The sequence below is a fragment of the Homo sapiens genome, chromosome 5, assembly GCF_000001405.40.
Source record: "Homo sapiens chromosome 5, GRCh38.p14 Primary Assembly".
Classification (NCBI taxonomy): domain Eukaryota; kingdom Metazoa; phylum Chordata; class Mammalia; order Primates; family Hominidae; genus Homo; species Homo sapiens.
Genome location: NC_000005.10, coordinates 55785879 through 55805570, shown reverse-complemented (window position 1 = coordinate 55805570; position 19692 = coordinate 55785879). Strand labels below are relative to the sequence as shown.

Below are 19692 nucleotides of genomic sequence, written 5' to 3'. Positions count from 1 at the left end.
AGATGCAGAAAAGGCCTTTGACAAAATTCAACAACTCTTCATGCTAAAAACTCTCAATAAATTAGGTATTGATGGGACGTATTTCAAAATAATAAGAGCTATCTATGACAAACCCACAGCCAATATCATACTGAATGGGCAAAAACTGGAAGCATTCCCTTTGAAAACTGGCACAAGACAGGGATGCCCTCTCTCACCACTCCTATTCAACATAGTGTTGGAAGTTCTGGCCAGGGCAATTAGGCAGGAGAAGGAAATAAAGGGTATTCAATTAGGAAAAGAGGAAGTCAAATTGTCTCTGTTTGCAGATGACATGACTGTATATCTAGAAAACCCCATCGTCTCAGCCCAAAATCTCCTTAAGCTGATAGGCAACTTCAGCAAAGTCTCAGGATACAAAATCAATGTACAAAAATCACAAGCATTCTTATACACCAATAACAGACAAACAGAGAGCCAAATCATGAGTGAACTCCCATTCACAATTGCTTCAAAGAAAATAAAATACCTAGGAATCCATCTTACAAGGGATGTGAAGGACCTCTTCAAGGAGAACTACAAATCACTGCTCAACGAAATAAAAGAGGATACAAACAAATGGAAGAACATTCCATGCTCATGGGTAGGAAGAATCAATATCGTGAAAATGGCCATACTGCCCAAGGTAATTTACAGATTCAATGCCATCCCCATCAAGCTACCAATGCCTTTCTTCACAGAATTGGAAAAACCAACTTTAAAGTTCATATGGAACCAAAAAAGAGCCCGCATCGCCAAGTCAATCCTAAGCCAAAAGAACAAAGCTGGAGGCATCACACTACCTGACTTCAAACTATACTACAAGGCCACAGTAACCAAAACAGCATGGTACTGGTACCAAAACAGAGATATAGATCAATGGAACAGAACAGAGCCCTCAGAAATAACGCAGCATATCTACAACTATCTGATCTTTGACAAACCTGAGAAAAACAAGCAATGGGGAAAGGATTCCCTATTTAATAAATGGTGCTGGGAAAACTGGCTAGCCATAAAAAGAAAGCTGAAACTGGATCCCTTCTTTACACCTTATACAAAAATCAATTCAAGATGGATTAAAGACTTAAACGTTAGACCAGAAACCATAAAAACCCTAGAAGAAAACCTAGGCATTACCATTCAGGACATAGGCATGGGCAAGGACTTCATGTCTAAAACACCAAAAGCAATGGCAACAAAAGCCAAAATTGACAAATGGGATCTAATTAAACTAAAGAGCTTCTGCACAGCAAAAGAAACTACCATCAGAGTGAACAGGCAACCTACAAAACGGGAGAAAATTTTCGCAACCTACTCATCTGACAAAGGGCTAATATCCAGAATCTACAATGAACTCAAACAAATTTACAAGAAAAAAACAAACAATCCCATCAAAAAGTGGGCAAAGGACATGAACAGACACTTCTCAAAAGAAGACATTTATGCAGCCAAAAACCACATGAAAAAATGCTCACCATCACTGGCCATCAGAGAAATGCAAATCAAAACCACAATGAGATACCATCTCACACCAGTTAGAATGGCAATCATTCAAAAGTCAGGAAACAACAGGTGCTGGAGAGGATGTGGAGAAATAGGAACACTTTTACACTGTTGGTGGGACTGTAAACTAGTCATTGTGGAAGTCAGTGTGGCGATTCCTCAGGGATCTAGAACTAGAAATACCATTTGACCCAGCCATCCCATTACTGGGTACATACCCAAAGGACTATAAATCATGCTGCTATAAAGACACATGCACACGTATGTTTATTGAGGCACTATTCACAATAGCAAAGACTTGGAACCAACCCAAATGTCCAACAATGATAGACTGGATTAAGAAAATGTGGCACATATACACCATGGAATACTGTGCATCCATAAAAAATGATGAGTTCATGTCCTTTGTAGGGACATGGATGAAATTGGAAATCATCATTCTCAAGTAAACTATCACAAGAACAAAAAACCAAACACCGCATATTCTCACTCATAGGTGGGAATTGAACAATGAGAACACATGGACACAGGAAGGGGAACATCACACTCTGGGGACTGTTGTGGGGTGGGGGGAGGGGGGAGGGATAGCATTGGGAGATATACCTAATGCTAGATGACGAGTTAGTGGGTGCAGCTCACCAGCATGGCACATGTATACATATGTAACTAACCTGCACATTGTGCACATGTACCCTAAAACTTAAAGTATAATAATAATAAAAATGTGGCACATATACACCATGGAATACTATGCAGCCTTAAAAAATGATGAGTTCATGTCCTTTGTAGGGACATGGATGAAGCTGGAAACCATCATTCTCAGCAAACTATTGCAAGGACAAAAAAACAAACACCACATGTTCTCACTCATCGGTGGGAATTGAACAATGAGAACACTTGGACACAGGAAGGGGGACATCACACACTGGGGCCTGTCGTGGGGTGGGGGGAGGCGGGAGGGATGGCATTAGGAGATATACCTAATGTAAATGACTAGTTAATGGGTGCAGCACACCAACATGGCACATGTATACATACGTAACAAACCTGCATGTTGTGCACATGTACCCTAAAAAAGTATATAATAAAAAAAGGGTTTACTGTAAAAAAAAAGAAAGAAAATAAGCTTAATCAGATTTTTTGCCTAGTATTTTTTAAATGGCTTTATTACCTTTATTTTGCATGTCATAGAAAAAAATTTATCAGTAGCATTATTCTTATCATGAACCTTCCTCAGACCCTCAATATTTAACAATTACCGGTAACAAATTTACCATGATCATTAAATCTGTCATCTTCAGACAGCTTTTGTTTTCTTTAGATGCTTGCCCAAAGGCTGTGCTGTAAGCTATAGATCAGAGTCTATGTCCTAAAGGACAGACTCCAAGCCTTGTGAAGAACTATTAATACTTCAAAGAATAGAGTCTTGGGTAGAAGGTTCTAAAGTTGACTGCTTTGACAACTTTTAGACCCTATCACTGGACTGAGTGAGATTTCCAGGACTAGTCCTTCTAGAAACAGACAGAATCATGCAAGCTGATCCCTAACATATACAATGAAATAAGAATTACATAAGGACTGAATGAGCTTATGGAGAATATCTCTCTGTGGCCATTTGTTTGCAATACTGTTAATATTATTTTAATATTCTATTTTCTGGATATATGAAGAAGGCTTTTTTCCTCTTAAGCTAGCTGTCATTTACACATTTTAGTAGACTCTGCTTTTGTAAACTAAAATCAAACATTCTAAAATCATATCTGATCTCGCATCTCACTGACACCCCATCCCAACCCAAATTCAGATTTCTTAACTAAGTCTCCTTAGTTTTCATGGTAGTTACCTGCAACAGTTAAATAAGAATCTGTCTGCCTCCTTTAACCAAGATATAAGTGGACAAGTTACCTGTCCAACTAACATCTCACCTGGATTTCGTATTTGAAAATGGAATGGTAGGTAGGACCAGATACTTTTTTTTAAGGAACAAAGGTTGGCTTTCCTTATGGAACCAATGCCTACAAAGACCTCCCATATAAGCTGACCTGGTGCTTGGCTTACATGGCCCAGCCTTGGAGATTTTAAGGAAGGTCATACACTTCCTGACAGGACAGGAACCACAGGAAATATGGGGGACCTTTCGTAGAGTGAGATTCACTCCAATTTATAGGTACTGCAGGTGAAACCTAGTAGAGAGAGTTTCTGAGACTTAGTTTCCTATCCCTTAGATAGCAAATAATAAAGGATTTTTAAAGTTCAATCTGACATTCCTTATGAAAACTTCCAGACAAAAGTTAATTTTGTGACTTTAGTAAGTCAATACTGTTCAGCAAACTTAAGGAGGCCCATTTATTGTTAATGAACAATCTTGCTGCACCCATGCCAATAAGCAAGCCAAACATAAGACCAAACTTCTTGTCATCAAGACTATCTCTGAGATTATTATGGTCATGAGGTAGACACAGGCTGTCAGAAAAAATTATGGAAGAATTTGAAGTAAGCAAAAAAGATTACTGTCTAGCACACTCTTTGTGCCTTCTATATTCTTTTTCATAACTGTTGCAATGGATAGCAATGCCAATGATTCTCAGTAAAAATGCAAATAAAGTTTTCCCCTGAAATGTGATTATTGCATTTGAATAATGACCAGTTTTACATCTACCTCTAAATTAATTTTAGCATTCCTAATTGCCTAAACCAGGGGTGTCCAATCTTTTGGCTTCCTTGGGCCACATTAGGAGAATTGTCTTGGGCCACACATAAAATACCGTAACACTACTGATAGCTGATGAGCTTTAAAAAAATGTTTTTTTAATCGCAAAAAAAAAAAAAAAAAACACCCCATCATGTTTTAAGAAAGGTTACGAATTTGCGTTGAGCCACATTCAAAGCTATCCACATCAAAGGGATGCATGTGGCCTGTGAGCTGTGGGTTGGACAAGCTTGGCCTAAATATACATGTATTTTTTTAATTCTCCTTTTGACTAGCTGTAACATCTTACTGGTTCCTTTCGTAACTAAAGAGCTCAATAAACTCTTTGATCTCTGTTGACTTAAAATTAAAATTATGAAAAAGGCAGTTGGGCTATGCCACTCCGAAATAAACTTATATATTTAAAGGCAAAAGGAAAAAAATAGCATAATTAAGTGAAAGAGTAGAAAAGGAGATAAATCATATGAACAAAATTTATATAATTTGAGGATATACTGGATGGATATTACATGCAAAGTTAAAAAGGTATCAACTATGAACACTAAACCAAAAAAAATATTTCACAGCTTAAATAATACAGAAGTATATCAATAGTGCTCATATATAATACATTGACCTTTTCTCAAGGGCAAACCAGCTCTTCTGAAAAACTCTCTCCTTTTGGATTACTTGCAAAATAAACTTTATCCCACAAGCTCATATATAAAAAAAATCTTGGCCGGGCACAGTGGCTCATGCCTGTAATCCCAGCACTTTGGGAGGCCGAGGCAGGCAGATCACAAGGTCAGGAGATCAAGACCATCCTGGCTAACACGGTGAAACCCTGTCTTTACTAAAAATACAAAAAAATTAGCCGGGTATGGTGGCACGTGCCTCTAGTCCCAGCTACTCAGGAGGCTGAGGCAGGAGAATGGCGTGAACCCGGGAGGCAGAGGTTGCAGTGAGCCGAGATTGTGCCACTGTACTCCAGCCTGGGTGACAGAGCAAGACTCCATCTCAAAAAAAAAAAAAAAAACTTAAGGTGACTATATTAGAAATATGTTCTAACTTCAGCAAAACCATATAGTGCTCATCTCTTCGGCATTAGCAGCATCAATTTATGGTGGACAAGTTATTTGACCTCTCTATATTTGTTTCTTCATCCCTAAAATGGGGATAATGACAAAATCTACTTCATAAGGTTGTTTTGGGAATTAAATGAGCTAACACATGTCCAATAATTAGAACAGTATGTGGCCCATAGCTATTATTATTTTTATATGCTATTAGTGTATATTATGAAACATTTGATGAAGCCAACCAATAAAATTTCTCAAACTCAAGATGAGTATTTGGTTTTTAAAAGTTTTTATAAAACTTAGGACAAATTAAAGACCAGAAGCCTGTAAGTGCTTTTTAAGTCACCTTTCCATTTTTTCTTTTTGCTCATTATTGGAAATTAGCTGATGAACCACCTTCGCATTTCTCTCTCAACACTGACATTCAAGCTGAAACGCAAGTACTAAAATGGAGGGTGTGGATGGAGAAAGTGTAACATGTAAGTAGACCTAGCCTATGAGGTAATGAGAAGGTATTAAAATGAACATATTTAAAATTTTTGCTTCCAGTCTCAAAATAAGGCTAAACAACCGAACTAAAAAAAATGACTTCAAAAATAAAAATTGGGCCAGGAATGGTGGCTTACACCTGTAATCCCAGCAGTTTGGGAGGCCAATGTGAGTGGATCACTCGAGCCCAGGAGTTCAAGACCAGCCTGGGCAACATGGTAAAAACCCCATCTCTACAAAAACTAAAAAACTGGTTGGGCATGGTGGTGCACGCCTGTAGTCCCGGCTACTCAGGGGACTGACGTGGAAGAACTGCTTGAGCCTGGGAGCTTGAGGCTGCAGTGAGCCATGGTCATGCTACTGCACTCCAGCCTTGGCAATAAAGCAAGGCCCCGTCTCAAAAAATTAAAAATAATAAAAAGTAAAATTGGGGTGAGTACAGTGGCTCATGGCTGTAACCTCAGCACTTTGGAAGGACAAGGTGGGAGGATTGAGGCCAACAGTTCAAGGCCAGCCTGGTCAATAGTGAGACCCCTATCTCTACAAAAAATAATAGAATTAGCTAGGCATGGTAGCGCATGCCTATAGTCCCAGCTACTTGGGAAGCTGAGGTGGGAGGATCGCTTGAGGCCAGGAGTTTGAGGCTGCCATAAGCTATGACTACACAATTATTTCAGGCCGAGCAACAAAGTGAGACCTTATCTCTAAAAAGATAATAAAAATAAAAATTGATTGGGGGAGTAGAGGAGAAAAAAAAATTCCCACAGATATTGTGAAGGAAGAGAACTAGATCTTAAGCCCCTTTTAGCTAAAAAAATTATTCAAATCTATGAATTTGGGAAGCCTTAGGAAGCAAGAGCTAGGAACCAGAAACAGAAAAACAATCTGCTTTTGATGGAGTAATAGTGTGATGTAAATATGTGTCACTACTAAGCCTTTCTAGTTTCCTAAAACAAAAAATAGATACATTTCTGGTGGAATAGTTAAAATGAAGTCTCAAATCCTTCCTATTTTCAAACTTAATGGTGGAGAAACGACCATATTTTTATATAATTTACCCAGAAAACTGAATCATAAAATTTTTTATAAAAGAGCTTTAGAGGGAGAGAGACTTAAAACAAACTTATGAAAAGTCAGACCAAACAATTCTTTAGTGATTTTTTAAATTATTCATTAAAAAAAATCAAAATCATGACAAAAAAATGTATCAACGTAAGATACCTATGTTTCGCAGAATTTCAACGAGCTTTTCTCTTTTTGAGAACTGGCCAACTTGGAGAACGGTCTGCTGAACATCTCTACATGCTCCACCCACTTGTCCAACAGCAACAAACAGATAATTTGACTTTAAAAACTCTGCAGCCAACCTTGAAAAACAAAAGATTATTCTTTAACTTATCCTCCTCTCCATCAGTATCCATAATATCCACTGAATTCCTGTAGGTGTTATCTCAATATTAATCAGACAGCAGATTATAACAGCTATAAGATGGTTGGTTACTTATATCACCCAAGTACTATTGTGAAAGATCAGTATAAAATATTAGGATTTTGCAAAATACATAACTACTAGAAAAAAAGTTTGTCAAAGTATGGATATGGTAATTACAAGTGGATTTGCTATCCACGCAAAACTATATAAAATATGTGTATAACACTTAAAAAAAAGCATGAACTAAAAGAAATAAACTGCAATAAGCAGGAATTATTTTTTAGTAAAACCTGAAATGTAAGCCTGAGACACAAATTCTGTTCTCCACTCATTGCTTTTATTTATGCTATTATTAGTTGTTTTCTGAAAATATTACCTATTAAATTACTCTACTTCAAATGAATGATTTCAAGCAAACCAGATCTTAGGTCAGTGCTCTGTCTGTCACGACACACATAGAAAGTAGTATTTGCATAGCACAATTGGGCAAAACAAGTGAGACGAGATGAAAGGCCCAGGGACATAGCGGAATCAGGATAGGTGTGCCTGCCCCAAAGGTTAAGGGTATCAATATCTTGACACACAGTTAACTCACTATCAGCTGCAATTGAGAAGTCTTGCTTTAGATCACATAGAAATATAGGGGAGTGGACAAAGTTGCTAATGAGAAAGATGAGTTTTTAGGGATAAATGGGGAGGCCCAAATCTCTCTTCAATGCCTCTCCCTCCTATGTAGCAGTCCCTTATTTACCAGCTGAGTCCTTCATGAAAACAGCTCAAATTCAGCATATCCAGACTCTTAATAAATCACTGCTTCTTCTTTCTCCTTACTTGATCTCTTATCATAAAAGAAAAGCTTTTTTATACCTTCTTTTAGAGTCACTCTCTCACCCAGGCACAAATCTTGAAATCATCTGAAATTCTTCAGATGATTATCCATCACCCTTTTCATTCACTAAAACTACTGAGTGTTTTGTGTCATGTGTACAAGGTACTGGGAGTACAAAGATGAACATGATGGTGTTAGCCTATGAGATCCTCACTTCAAGTAGGAAAGATATATTAAGAAAAATTACAGTTTAGTGTTAGAATAGTTAATGTTTACTGAACACTATGTTCCAAGAAATGTGCAAAGTGACTTAAACAGTTTCTTTCACAAGATACACTGGCAGGAAATGGATGAAATGATGTCTATTTAGAAAAATCCTCCAGTTTGAGGCGGGGCACAGTGGCTCATGCCTACAATCCTAGCACTTTGGAAGGCCAAGGCATGTGGATCACCTGAGCCCAGGAGTTTGAGACCATTCTGGCCAACATGGTGAAACCCCATCTCTACAAAAAATAAAAAATTAGCCAGGTGTGTATGCGCATGCCTGTAGTTCCAGCTACCCAGGAGGCTGAGGTGGGCCTAGGATCGCTTCAGCCAGGGAGGTCAAGGTGGCAGTGAACCATGATTGTGCCTCTGAACTTCAGCCTGGGCGAGAAGAGTGAGACCTTGTCTCCAAAAAAAAAAAAAAAAAAAAAAAAAAAAAAAAAAGAAAGAAAGAAAAAAAGAAAAGAAAAGTCTTCAAGTTTGAAGCTTGATCTAGGGAAGCAGCAGGCAAGAATGTGGAACACTAATGATTGTGGAAAGGCATTCTAAGCAGTAGGAAAGAAGAAACAAGCACAAATAATGAGGAAAGTAAAATTCAGCTTTCTCAGCCAAGAGGAAATAGCTCTAGTAGACTAGAAACACACGACTCCAGGTAAGAAAGTAGCAGGTGAGCCTGAGACTGTCATGTGTTAAAGAGTTTAAAAATCAGTCTATGAAGATGGAAAGATATGGGAAGGTTTATTTTAAATAAATGTTTAAAAGAATCAGACTTTATTTTGGCATTGCCACTAATGCAGAAGTGACACTAGAAGCAGGGAGACAGGTTAAAAAGCCACTTCCAGTGAGCAGGGCAAAATTGATAAGGACCTAAATTAAGGTGGGAAATAGAGAAGCTAACAGATGTGAAATATTTTAGAGATTACTACCGTAATGGTTAATATTTGGTGTCAACTTGATTATATTGAGGGATGCCTAGATGGCCAGTGAAACATTGTTTCTGGATGTGTCTCTGAGGGTGCTACCAGAGGAGACTGACATTTCAGTTGGTAGACTGGGAGAAGAAGGCCCACCCTCAATGTGGGTGGACACCATCCAGTTGGCTACCAGCGCAGCTACAAGAACGCAGGCAGAAGAAGGTGGGATAACTTTGCCTGCTGACTCTTCTGGCTCTCTTTCTTCTTCCCATGTTGGATGCTTGCTTCTGCTCCTACTACCCTTGGACATCATACTCCAGGTTCTTTGGACTTTGGACTCTGGGACTTGCACCAGCAGCTTCTTGGGGGAATCTATCAGCTTCCTTGGTTTTGAGGCTTTCAGACTTGGACTGAGCCACTACTGGCTTCTCTCTTCTCCAGCTTGCAGACAGCCTATCATGGGACTTCACCTTGTGATTGTGTGAGCCAATTTTCCCTAATAAACTTCCTTTTATATCTACATATATATTATTGGTTCTGTCCTTCTGGAGAACCCTAATATCACTGCCACGTTGTACTGAGACAGGGTCTTAGTCTGTTGCCCAGGCCAGAGTACAGGGGCACACAATCATGGCTCACTGCAGCCTCAACTTCCTGGGCTCAAGAGATCCTCCCACTTTAGCCTCCTGAGTAGCTGAACCTACAGGTGCGTGTCACCACACCCAGCTAATTTTTTAAATGTTTTTTATAGAGACAGGGTCTCACTATGTTGCCCAGGCTGGGCCTGAACTTCTAGGCTCAAATGCTTCTCCCTCTTTAGCCTCCCAAAGTGTTGGGATTATAGGCATGAGCTACTGCGCCTGGCCCAAGTTCAGTATTTTTAAAAGCGGAGTTAAAAGACTGTGAGAGAAGAATCACCACGATTCAAACAATTCTGGCTTTAAAAGATCATGATGCCAATAACCAGAATAAAGAAAACGGGAAAAAGGGAACTGAAGAAAAATTACGTTCTATTTTGGACATGAACGTGAGTTACTAGTCATTCATCTGGGAGAACAAACACCCCAAGAAGTTAAATTTAAAAGTCTGGGCCGGGTGCGGTGGCTCACGCTTACAATCCCAGCACTCTGGGAGGCTGAGGCGGACGGATCAGCTGAGGTCAGGAGTTCAAGACCAGCCTGACCAGCATGGAGAAACCCCATCTCTACTAAAAATACAAAATTAGCCGGACGTGGTGGTACATGCCTGTAATCCCAGCCACTCAGGAGGCTGAGGGAGGAGAGTCGCTTGAACCCTGGAGGCGGAGGTTGCGGTGAGCCGAGATCGTGCCATTGTACTCTAGCCTGGGCAACAAGAGCGAAACTCTGTCTCAAGAAAAAAAAAAAAAAAAGGTCTGGGGCTACAGAGAGAGATTAGGAATACAGGGAAGAAATTTGGGAGAGTTACAGGTATAAGTAGAAGCCAAGGGAACGGATATATCATAACTCAGGGAATATGCACATTGAGAAAAGGACTTCGCACAGAATGATGGGCAACTGGTAACATTTAAGAACAGATAAAATGAAGCAACTGAGGGAGAGTCAGGAAGCAAAGAATGTAAACAACTCAAGGTCAGATAGGAGCTTATTTTGTTTAACATATATCCCCAGAGCTTATAATCAAATATGATTCACAAAAGATCCTCGACAAATATTACTGACTGACAATAGTACGTTTGCCATTTTGGGTGGCCAACATACAAATACTTTCCCATTTCAGGGTGAATCTAAAAAGAGTCAGGCTGCTAATTAGATAGTTACCAAAGCAAATGGTGGGAATGCAAATACCCCATTTCCACCTGAAAATACTATATAGGGCTGGGTGTGGTGGCTCATGCCTGTAATCCCAGCACTCTGGGAGGCTGAGGTGGGCAGATCACCTGAGGTCAGGAGTTCAAGACCAGCCTGGCCAACATGGTGAAACCCCGTCTCTACTAAAAATACAAAAAAAAAAAAAAAAATTAACCAGGCGTGGTGGCAGGCGCCTGTAATCCCAGCTACTTGGGAGGCTGAGGCAGGAGAATCGCTTGAACCCGGGAGATTGAGGTTGCAGTGAGCCAAGATCGCGCCATTGCACTCCAGCCTGGGGGACAAGAGCAAGAGCAAGACTTCATCACAAAAAAAAAAAAAAAGAAAGAAAATACTATTCAATTGTTAAGAAATGATTGTTTTATGTACCACTAAGAAAGAAAAATATCCTGCCAATTGACCTAATGCTGTCTTATGAGTTCTATTTTCCCCCAATAAAGAACTCTTCCTAACTTTACACAAAGATTTACCATATAAAAAATAAATCAATAGCCAGCACCACTATTCAAGGGTTTGGGAATGTTTGATATACTAGCACAGGATCCCATGTAACATTCTATCAAACCAGGGGACCAACTTTAAAGCAAAAGAGGTGTTGGGACAGGCCCATAACCATAGGATTCACAGGTAATATATATACTGCACCACTCAGAAGCTGCCAACCTGAGAGAACATTGGAACATTGGAACTGTCTGCAGAAAAAACAGTTCAAGGGTGAGTTTGGAGGCAACTCTTTATGAAGACAGGGCATTATCCAACATGACACGGTAATTCCTCAAATCAAATATCCATATATGGTGCATGAGTCTGGGAATCCAGGAGAGCAAGCACTACTGGCCCACCTACCATCACTCTCAATGACCCACTAGGGAAATCTATGCTTCCCATCCCTTCTTGTCCTCCAACTTTATGTTCTACAGGTTTTGACGTCTTGGTTCCCAAAGAGAACGCAGTTCCACTAGAGAAAATAGCAAGAGTCCTGCTGAATTACAGATGGTTCCCAACTTACAACAGGGTTAACATCCCGATAAACCTATTTTAAGTCCAAAATATCTTAAGTCAAAAATGCAATTAATACCTATGATAAACCATTATAAAGTAAAAAAATCATAAAATCTTATGTTGAACCATAGGACCCATCTGTATAAGCTTCTGCTGTTGCCTGGGCACTTCTGGCTCCTTGAGACAAGGGGCTGGCAGGAAAAAGAGTCACCATTCCAGTAGGGATGTGTCACCCTAATCTCTGAATTCATTAGACCCCATGGTATATAACATGATCCTCAAATATCTGCCAATAATTGGTATATGAATTTTCTACCAAAGCCTCAGTTCTCCCAAATCCTATAGATTTAGGTTTGAAAAGAAGGCATAATAATAAAAATAACTTAATTTAGTAAGCACTTATTAAACCCTAGCTGGATTCTATGCAACAACAACAACAACACACACAAACACACACACACACACACACACACACACACACTTTTTAAATAAAATGTGATGTTAACACAAAGCCAGGAATAAAGGTAAGAAACAATGGAAAATGTGGCAAACGTTTTAGAAATACATCTACTTTTTAAACTACCTATATTAAAATCTTAACGACAAATCTCTAAAAATAGGATATTCACAGTGCTTCCACTTTGATAAAAGTATGTATATATATATAATTAAATTATTTTTAAGAAAAAAACTTAACCTTTGAATTTCCTCTGGAAAAGTTGCACTGAACATAAGGGTTTGGCGCTGTTCCTTTGATGGCATTCCTGGGCAAGAAATTAACTTCTTCATTTCTGGACCAAAACCCATATCCAACATGCGATCAGCTTCATCCAAAACTAAGTATTTGATCTGTTTGAGACCAATCTTTAAGGATATTTTCAAAGGTAAAACAGAAAATGCATATTAGTTTATATTAAACTATTCTCTACAATTCCAACTGTTAAAATACTGTTAAGAAAAAAAAAAAAATACAAAAAATTAGCCAGGCGTGTTGGCGGACGCCTGTAGTCCCAGCTACCTGGGAGGCTGAGGCAGGAGAACGGTGTGAACCCGGGAGGCAGAGCTTGCAGTGAGCAAGATCGCGCCACTGCACTCCAGCCTGGGCAACATAGCGAGACTCCGTCTCAAAAAAAAGAAAAAAATAAAAATAAAAAAAAATAAAATACTGTTAAGAAAAAAGACTAGAAATTAGTGTATAAAATGAGAATTGATATGCTTAGATAATATTACTGTATATTTCAGTTCAATTTTCTGTTATAAAGCATTTTTAAAATTAAGTCTAAAAGAAACCAAATGTCTAGATCAACACTGTGCAATAAAACTTTCTGCAATTACTTAAAAGTTCTATTAACTGCGCTTTTTTTTTTTTTTTTTTTTTTTTGAGAAGGAGTCTTGCTGTGTTGCCCAGGCTGGAGTGCAGTGGCACAAGCTCAGCTCACTGCAACCTCTGCCTCCTGGGTTCAAGTGATTCTCCTGCCTCAGCCTCCCAAGTAGCTGGGGCTACAGGCACATGCCCCCATGCCTGGCTAATTTTTGTGTGTGTGTGTGTGTGTTTTTAGTAGAGACGGGGTTTCACCATGTTAACCAGGATGGTCTCTATCTCCTGACCTCGTGATATGCCTGCCTCGGCTTCCCAAAGTGCTGGGATTATAGGCGTGAGCCACTGCACCCAGCCTATCTGCATTGTTTAACGTGTTAGTCATTAGCCAAAGGTAGCTAGCTATTAGGCGCTTGAAATGTGGCTACTGTGACTTGGAACTGAATTTTTATCATTCTTAAATTTAAATTGTTACATGTGGCTAGTGGTTACTGTATTGGACAATACAGATCTAGATTATAGTATTTGATAAAGTTAGACTCTAATGTAAGAAAGAAAATATCCTAACAGCATGACATATTCAAATATCTTCTAACTGGTAAAATTTTTTCTAACCTCTTTAAATCCTTAGTAAATTCTCCATTCTCTAATCACTCGGGAACAATCAGGAACCTCTTACCTTTGCATGAACATCTTTTACTATAAACAGAAGAACACACTTGCAAAGTGATTTTGGTACCACTATGAAGATGTTTAGCAAGAAAGTAAGGTAGATATCTCTGGGTCCTTTTAATAAGTATACTAAGAAAGGTGTGTTTATGCAGAAATAACATTTTTTTGAGTAACCCAGAGGGATGAAAATGACTCTTAACTCAGAAGCACCCTTTAAAGAGTTTTTAAAAAGCAAATCTGGTTCATTAAGGTGAACTGAAAGTACTGATTGAGAGATACAAAAATATAGTATATGAATTCCTAAATAAGTACATGGCCCTAAAATCTTTTTAAAGATTTAGAAAATTAACAATCCTGGTTAATATCATTCCCATGCTTACATAGGAGACAGAATTATTGATGCCACAAAGGGTTTCTTACAGGAGAAAAACTATTTCCCCAAGACATGTATGAAACCAGATAAAAAGTTATTAACTACATTTTTCCCCCAGCGTAGTGGGATGTAGAATATGGATTCTGGAATCAGACCCAGATTCTAACATTAGCTCTATACTTACTAGAGCTAACTCAGGGATTTTTAAAATAAATTACATAATCTCATTGAGTTTGTTTTCCCAAGTATAAATTAGAAAACACTATTCCCTGCGATTATCTTGAGAATTATATAAGAATGCATTCAAAGAATGTGATGGAGGCTAACACATAAATAGTGCTCTACTAAATACATCTGTCTTTACCTCATTCTTTCCTTTTCCCATACCAAACAAAAAGTATCAATCTCACAACTTCATTATTCCTATAAGGCGTACCTTTTCTTTGCCTATGATATCCATCAGTCTTCCAGGAGTAGCACATAATATATTACAGCCTTGTACTATTTGTCGAATTGAATGTCCCAGCTGGGTTCCCCCATATATAACAACAGCTCTTACACAAGTCCTATTAACAAGAAAACTAAATGTTATTTTCTAGTTACTTAAAAATTAGGCATCTGTTTCTAACAAGATATAAAACAAAATCCAAAAAGAAAAAAACAAACATTCAACTATCTAAAAAAATATTAAATTCTGGCTGGGTGCAGTGGCTCACGCCTGTAATCCCAGCACTTTGGGAGGCCAGGGCGGGCAAATCACCTGAGGTCAGGAGTTTGAGACCAGCCTGGCCAACATGGTAAAATCCAGTCTCTACTAAAAATGCAAAAAATTGGCCAGGCATGGTAGCATGCGCCTATAATCCCAGCTACTCAGGTGGCTGAGGCAGGAGAATCGCTTGAACCCAGGAGGCAGAGGTTGCAGTGAGCCGAGATCCCACCACTCTACTCCAGCCTGGGCAACACAGCGAGTCTCCATCTTAAAAAAAAAAAAAAAAAAAAAAAAGGTGATATTTTACTTGATTTTTTTTTTTAATTACAATACTTTTGGGGGAACAGGTGGTATTTCGTTACATGGATAAGTTATTTAGTGGTGATTTCTGAGATCTTTTACTTGATTTAAAAGCCTGAAAGCAACATGTTACATGAGGATTAGCAAGATATAAACACTGAAATAAGCAATCCACATGTTTTTCCAAAAGATCTATCAGGTTTGATATTAAAGTGATTTCAAGCATGGAAAAGAATAAAATCACCTGTGGTGGTTTTAACATACATATACAAATTCTTCAATATATTCCTTCCTTCAAATATGGATTCTACCTTCCCCCTTCAGTGTGGGTAAGGCTGGCCTCATGAGTGTGCAACCTGTCCAGTCACACAGAGTCCCAAGTTCAGAAGAATCCCGTGTTTCATTTAATGCTCTGTTGTCGCTGCCTTGAAATTTGTAATAATTTTACAACAAAGGACCCTGCACTTTCAATTTTGCACTAGTTCCAATAAATTATAATATAGCCACTCCTGAGTGGGGTCAAACTTAGTGACTTGCTTCTTACAAAGAGAATGTGGCAGAAGGACAATGTGTGACTTCTGGGACTATTTCATAAAAGCTATTACAGCCTCCTCTTTGTTCTTACTGATCACTTAATCTAGGGGAAGCCAGTGCCATTTAATCATGCATCCCTATGGAGAGATCCAATGAAGCCCTCAGATGACTGCCTTGACATCTTGTCTGGTTGACAATAAAACCAGAATTGGTTGACATCTCGTTTACAATCTCATAAGAAACTCTTAACTCAGAAGGACCCAGCTAAGCCAAGCTGTTCCCCAATTCCTAAGCCCCCAAAATGGTGAGACAGTAAATGTTTATTGTTGAAAGCAACTATGTTTTAAGGGAGTTTGTTAGGCAGCGATAACTAAATGTTGGCAAAGGGTATACTGAAATTGGACTTCTGATAGACTGCAGGCACAAATATACATTAATTACAAGCTTTAAAATAAGTTCCTGCTCTTTAACATTAAAATTGATAAAACTCTATTCTAAGAAAATACTTAAAACAGAAAACTGTTGGTTTTTTTTATATATAAGTCAAGGTCTCACTGTCATCTAGGCTGGAATGCAGTGGCGCAATCACAGCTCACTGCAGCCTCGACCTCCCAGGCTCAGGTAATCTCTCAGGCTCCCAAGTAGCTGGGACTACAGGGGTGCACCACTGCACCTAGCTAGTTTTTGTTCTTTTTTGTAGAGATGGGTTTTCACCATGTTTTCCAGGCTGGTCTTGAACTCCTGGGCTCAAGCTATCTGCCCATCTTGGCCTCCCAAAGTGCTAGGATTACAGGTGTAAGACATCATATCTGGCCAAAACAGAAAAACTATGTAGCAAGATGTACATTGCAATTTTGTTTACAATAGCCCCAAGTTAGAAAGAACCTAAATACCTCAGAACAGAGAAATAAAATGTATACACATGGGCAATTTAAAAGTCATTAAAAATCAGTTCTTATTATGAAATAAGAATTTTCTGTGTTATAAAGTTTTATGTAAAAGAATAGGAAATTATTAGAATACCCTGAGTTCATTTTTAAATATACATTAAAAACTACCAAGAAATAATACCAGTATGTTCACTATTTTCTACTTCTAGTATTATCTGTTTTTTAAATTAAAATTTTACTTTTTTGGAGACAGGGTCTCGCTCTGAGTGTGGTGGTGCAATCACAGTTCACTGCAGCCTCAAACTCCTGGACTCAAACAATCCTTCTGCCTCAACCTCCTAAACTCCTAGGACAACAGGTGTGCATCACCACATGCTGGCTAGTTATTTTATTTTTTGTAGAGATGGGGTCTTGCCATGTTACCCTGGCTGGTCTCGAACTCCTGGCCTCAAGCAGTCTGCCTGCCTGGGCCTCACAAAGCACTGGGATTATAGTCATGAGCCACCAAGTCCAACCTATTAACCTAATTTTTAATAAGCATATTTCTTTTCAAAAATGAAAAGGATTCCATAAACAAGATAATAAAAAAATACTTTAAGTAATGCTAAAAATTACATGAGTGCATTATTACTGAGTTCTTCCAAAAGTGAGGGGAAAAAAATCTCTAAAGAAAAAACTATTTTGTGAGTAGCACTCTGATGTACTTACCCAAAAGAAAATTTTCTGGCTTCCAAATAAATCTGGTTGACCAATTCTCGAGTTGGTGCTACAATAATACACTCTGGTTCCTGCAACTCTTTAAAACGACTGGCAGTTATTCCATCATGCATCATATGAGCCAAAATTGGTAGGAGAAAAGCCGCCTAGAAGTTAAGTTGCTTAGTTTACAAACTTATAGCACAACACTTTTATCCCTATGGAAAGCTAATCCTCATGTCCTTATAGCCTTTAGACTCTACTTCCATCTTACTGGTAAATTTAAGATGAGAAATGAAAACAACTTTCATTTCAAGGTGTTCTTAACATTTATGTCTTTATGCTCTTATTATACAATATAAAATTTGGTAAAATTAATCTAACCTATCAAAGTTTTTCAGTGTATTTTCAAAAGCATACCCACGAATTCTAAACAGATCAACAACATTAGCATATTTATAGAGGAATATGATAGATGTAATCGCTGCAAATCATTACAGTGAACAATTACTCTAAGTTAGTCCTTTTGAGGTCATAAAATTATCATTCAGAATGGATGACAAAAGTGGCCCACAGAGTAAAAACTTAGAAATCATCATCTGTATTACTGAACACATTACCCTTATTGAAGTTACATCTGGCAACAGAAATTTTGTGCTACAGTTTTCTCATTTAAGCAAATAAGACACTTGCTAAAATCCACCTCCAAAACCACGTTTAACACTCTCATCAGCTGCTATACAATACCTGTTTTTCCCTACAATTCTACTATGAAGGCTGATTAAGACTAAAATGGTATGACCTCATGGACTCTATGATCATAGAAATAAGAGTCTCATCTTATGGAGTCGTTAATTAACACACAAATCTCCCAGATTAGTCCTAAAACCAACTGGTTTCATCAGACTTCTTTTATAATTAGCATAACCTGAGGTCACTGAATACTAAGGAATCATGCACAATGCATAACTGTTTCTCATTCTTTAATCTTTTGACTTCGAGTGTACCAGCTATAATACAGAAATTACTTTCTCCCTCTCTGTTTTATAAGCTCTGCTTTGACTTTCAGTCACTTTGTTTAAGATACTACCATGTTTCAGAAAGAGCTGCACACAGAAAAGATTAAACATCTATGGACAGCAACACCACCCCAGGAATAGTTCAGAATTCTTTCTTCCGAAGTACACAAATCCTAATAAAAATCAGAAGCAAAACCATCAATACTTATGACAGGTAACTGAAACCATCTACAAACCTTCTACTCAAAAGAAGAAACCAAGTTACTAAGGAAGAACCAAAGCTCAAAAAACCTAACAGTTTGGACATGTGGGGAAAGACTTACAGTCTTCCCAGACCCTGTTTGAGCGCAAGCCATCAAATCTCGTCCTGCAAGTATGATAGGAATACTGTATTTTTGCACAGGAGTAAGCTTAGTATAACCAGCTTTAGCAATGTTGTTATTCAGTGTCTGACAGAGATTAGCTTCTTCAAAAGTCTGAAAATTTAAAAAAAAGCAGTGATTACATTCTATATATCATATGCAGATCATTTATAAGCATATTTCATTCGAGCTACTTTCCAAGTTCTGTTAATTCTACTTTATATACTAAAGTGACTTTAGTAACATGCCTCCACTCAGAAGTAAATATTCAAAGCCTGTATATTATAATATGATTTGACAGAATCATGAAGTATTCTCCACAAATGGTGGCTTTAAAAACATTTTTCCTGCCCCCTTAAAACCTATGAGATATGAAGAATTCTGCTCAGTAATGGCTTGTTCTAAGTATAATTATCAATAGGAGACAGAGGGCTCCCCCTCTCAGAAAAATCACTGCCCTAAGACACACTTTCTCACAATCTTGGGAAAACATCTTGAATCACTAGGAAAAGCATTTTTTAAGTAAGTTTAAATAAAATTCTCATCCTGGTATGGGGAGTGGGGATGAAATCTATTACTCTCTTTTGACATAGCAATTAATTCTATTATAGATGGTAAGACATCATTCTAAATTTCCAACCTAAGACCTTATATACGAAAGGTGAAATCTATGTGTTGATATCAGCTTTACAAACTACATAATGTATTTTAAAGGCAAAGTGTGCTACATAGCTAATACAGAAACAATTAATA

General features: G+C 38.1%; 1 protein-coding gene across 7 annotated transcripts in view, besides 1 other annotated feature; it reads right to left on the bottom strand.

The window, feature by feature from the left end:
- The window catches only part of DDX4 (DEAD-box helicase 4), a 79097-nt gene that overhangs the window by 11587 nt on the left and 47818 nt on the right, over positions 1-19692 (bottom strand). For all 7 annotated transcript variants that reach the window (XM_024446119.2, NM_024415.3, NM_001142549.2 and 4 more), the window contains 5 exons: positions 18901-19053; positions 17571-17725; positions 14866-14995; positions 12764-12930; positions 7000-7145 (listed from right to left, as the gene is read on the bottom strand). In XM_024446119.2, the coding sequence (XP_024301887.1) occupies positions 7000-7145; positions 12764-12930; positions 14866-14995; positions 17571-17725; positions 18901-19053 (751 nt within the window). The remainder of the gene's footprint in view (positions 1-6999; positions 7146-12763; positions 12931-14865; positions 14996-17570; positions 17726-18900; positions 19054-19692) is intronic.
- Positions 2346-2529: a silencer, noted in NCBI's record as "fragment chr5:55098870-55099053 (GRCh37/hg19 assembly coordinates)". NCBI's record gives its function as "represses an EF-1alpha promoter that drives an FKBP-Casp9 reporter gene in an ReSE screen in K562 erythroleukemia cells {active_cell/tissue: K562}" and the evidence as "EXISTENCE:reporter gene assay evidence [ECO:0000049][PMID:32094911]".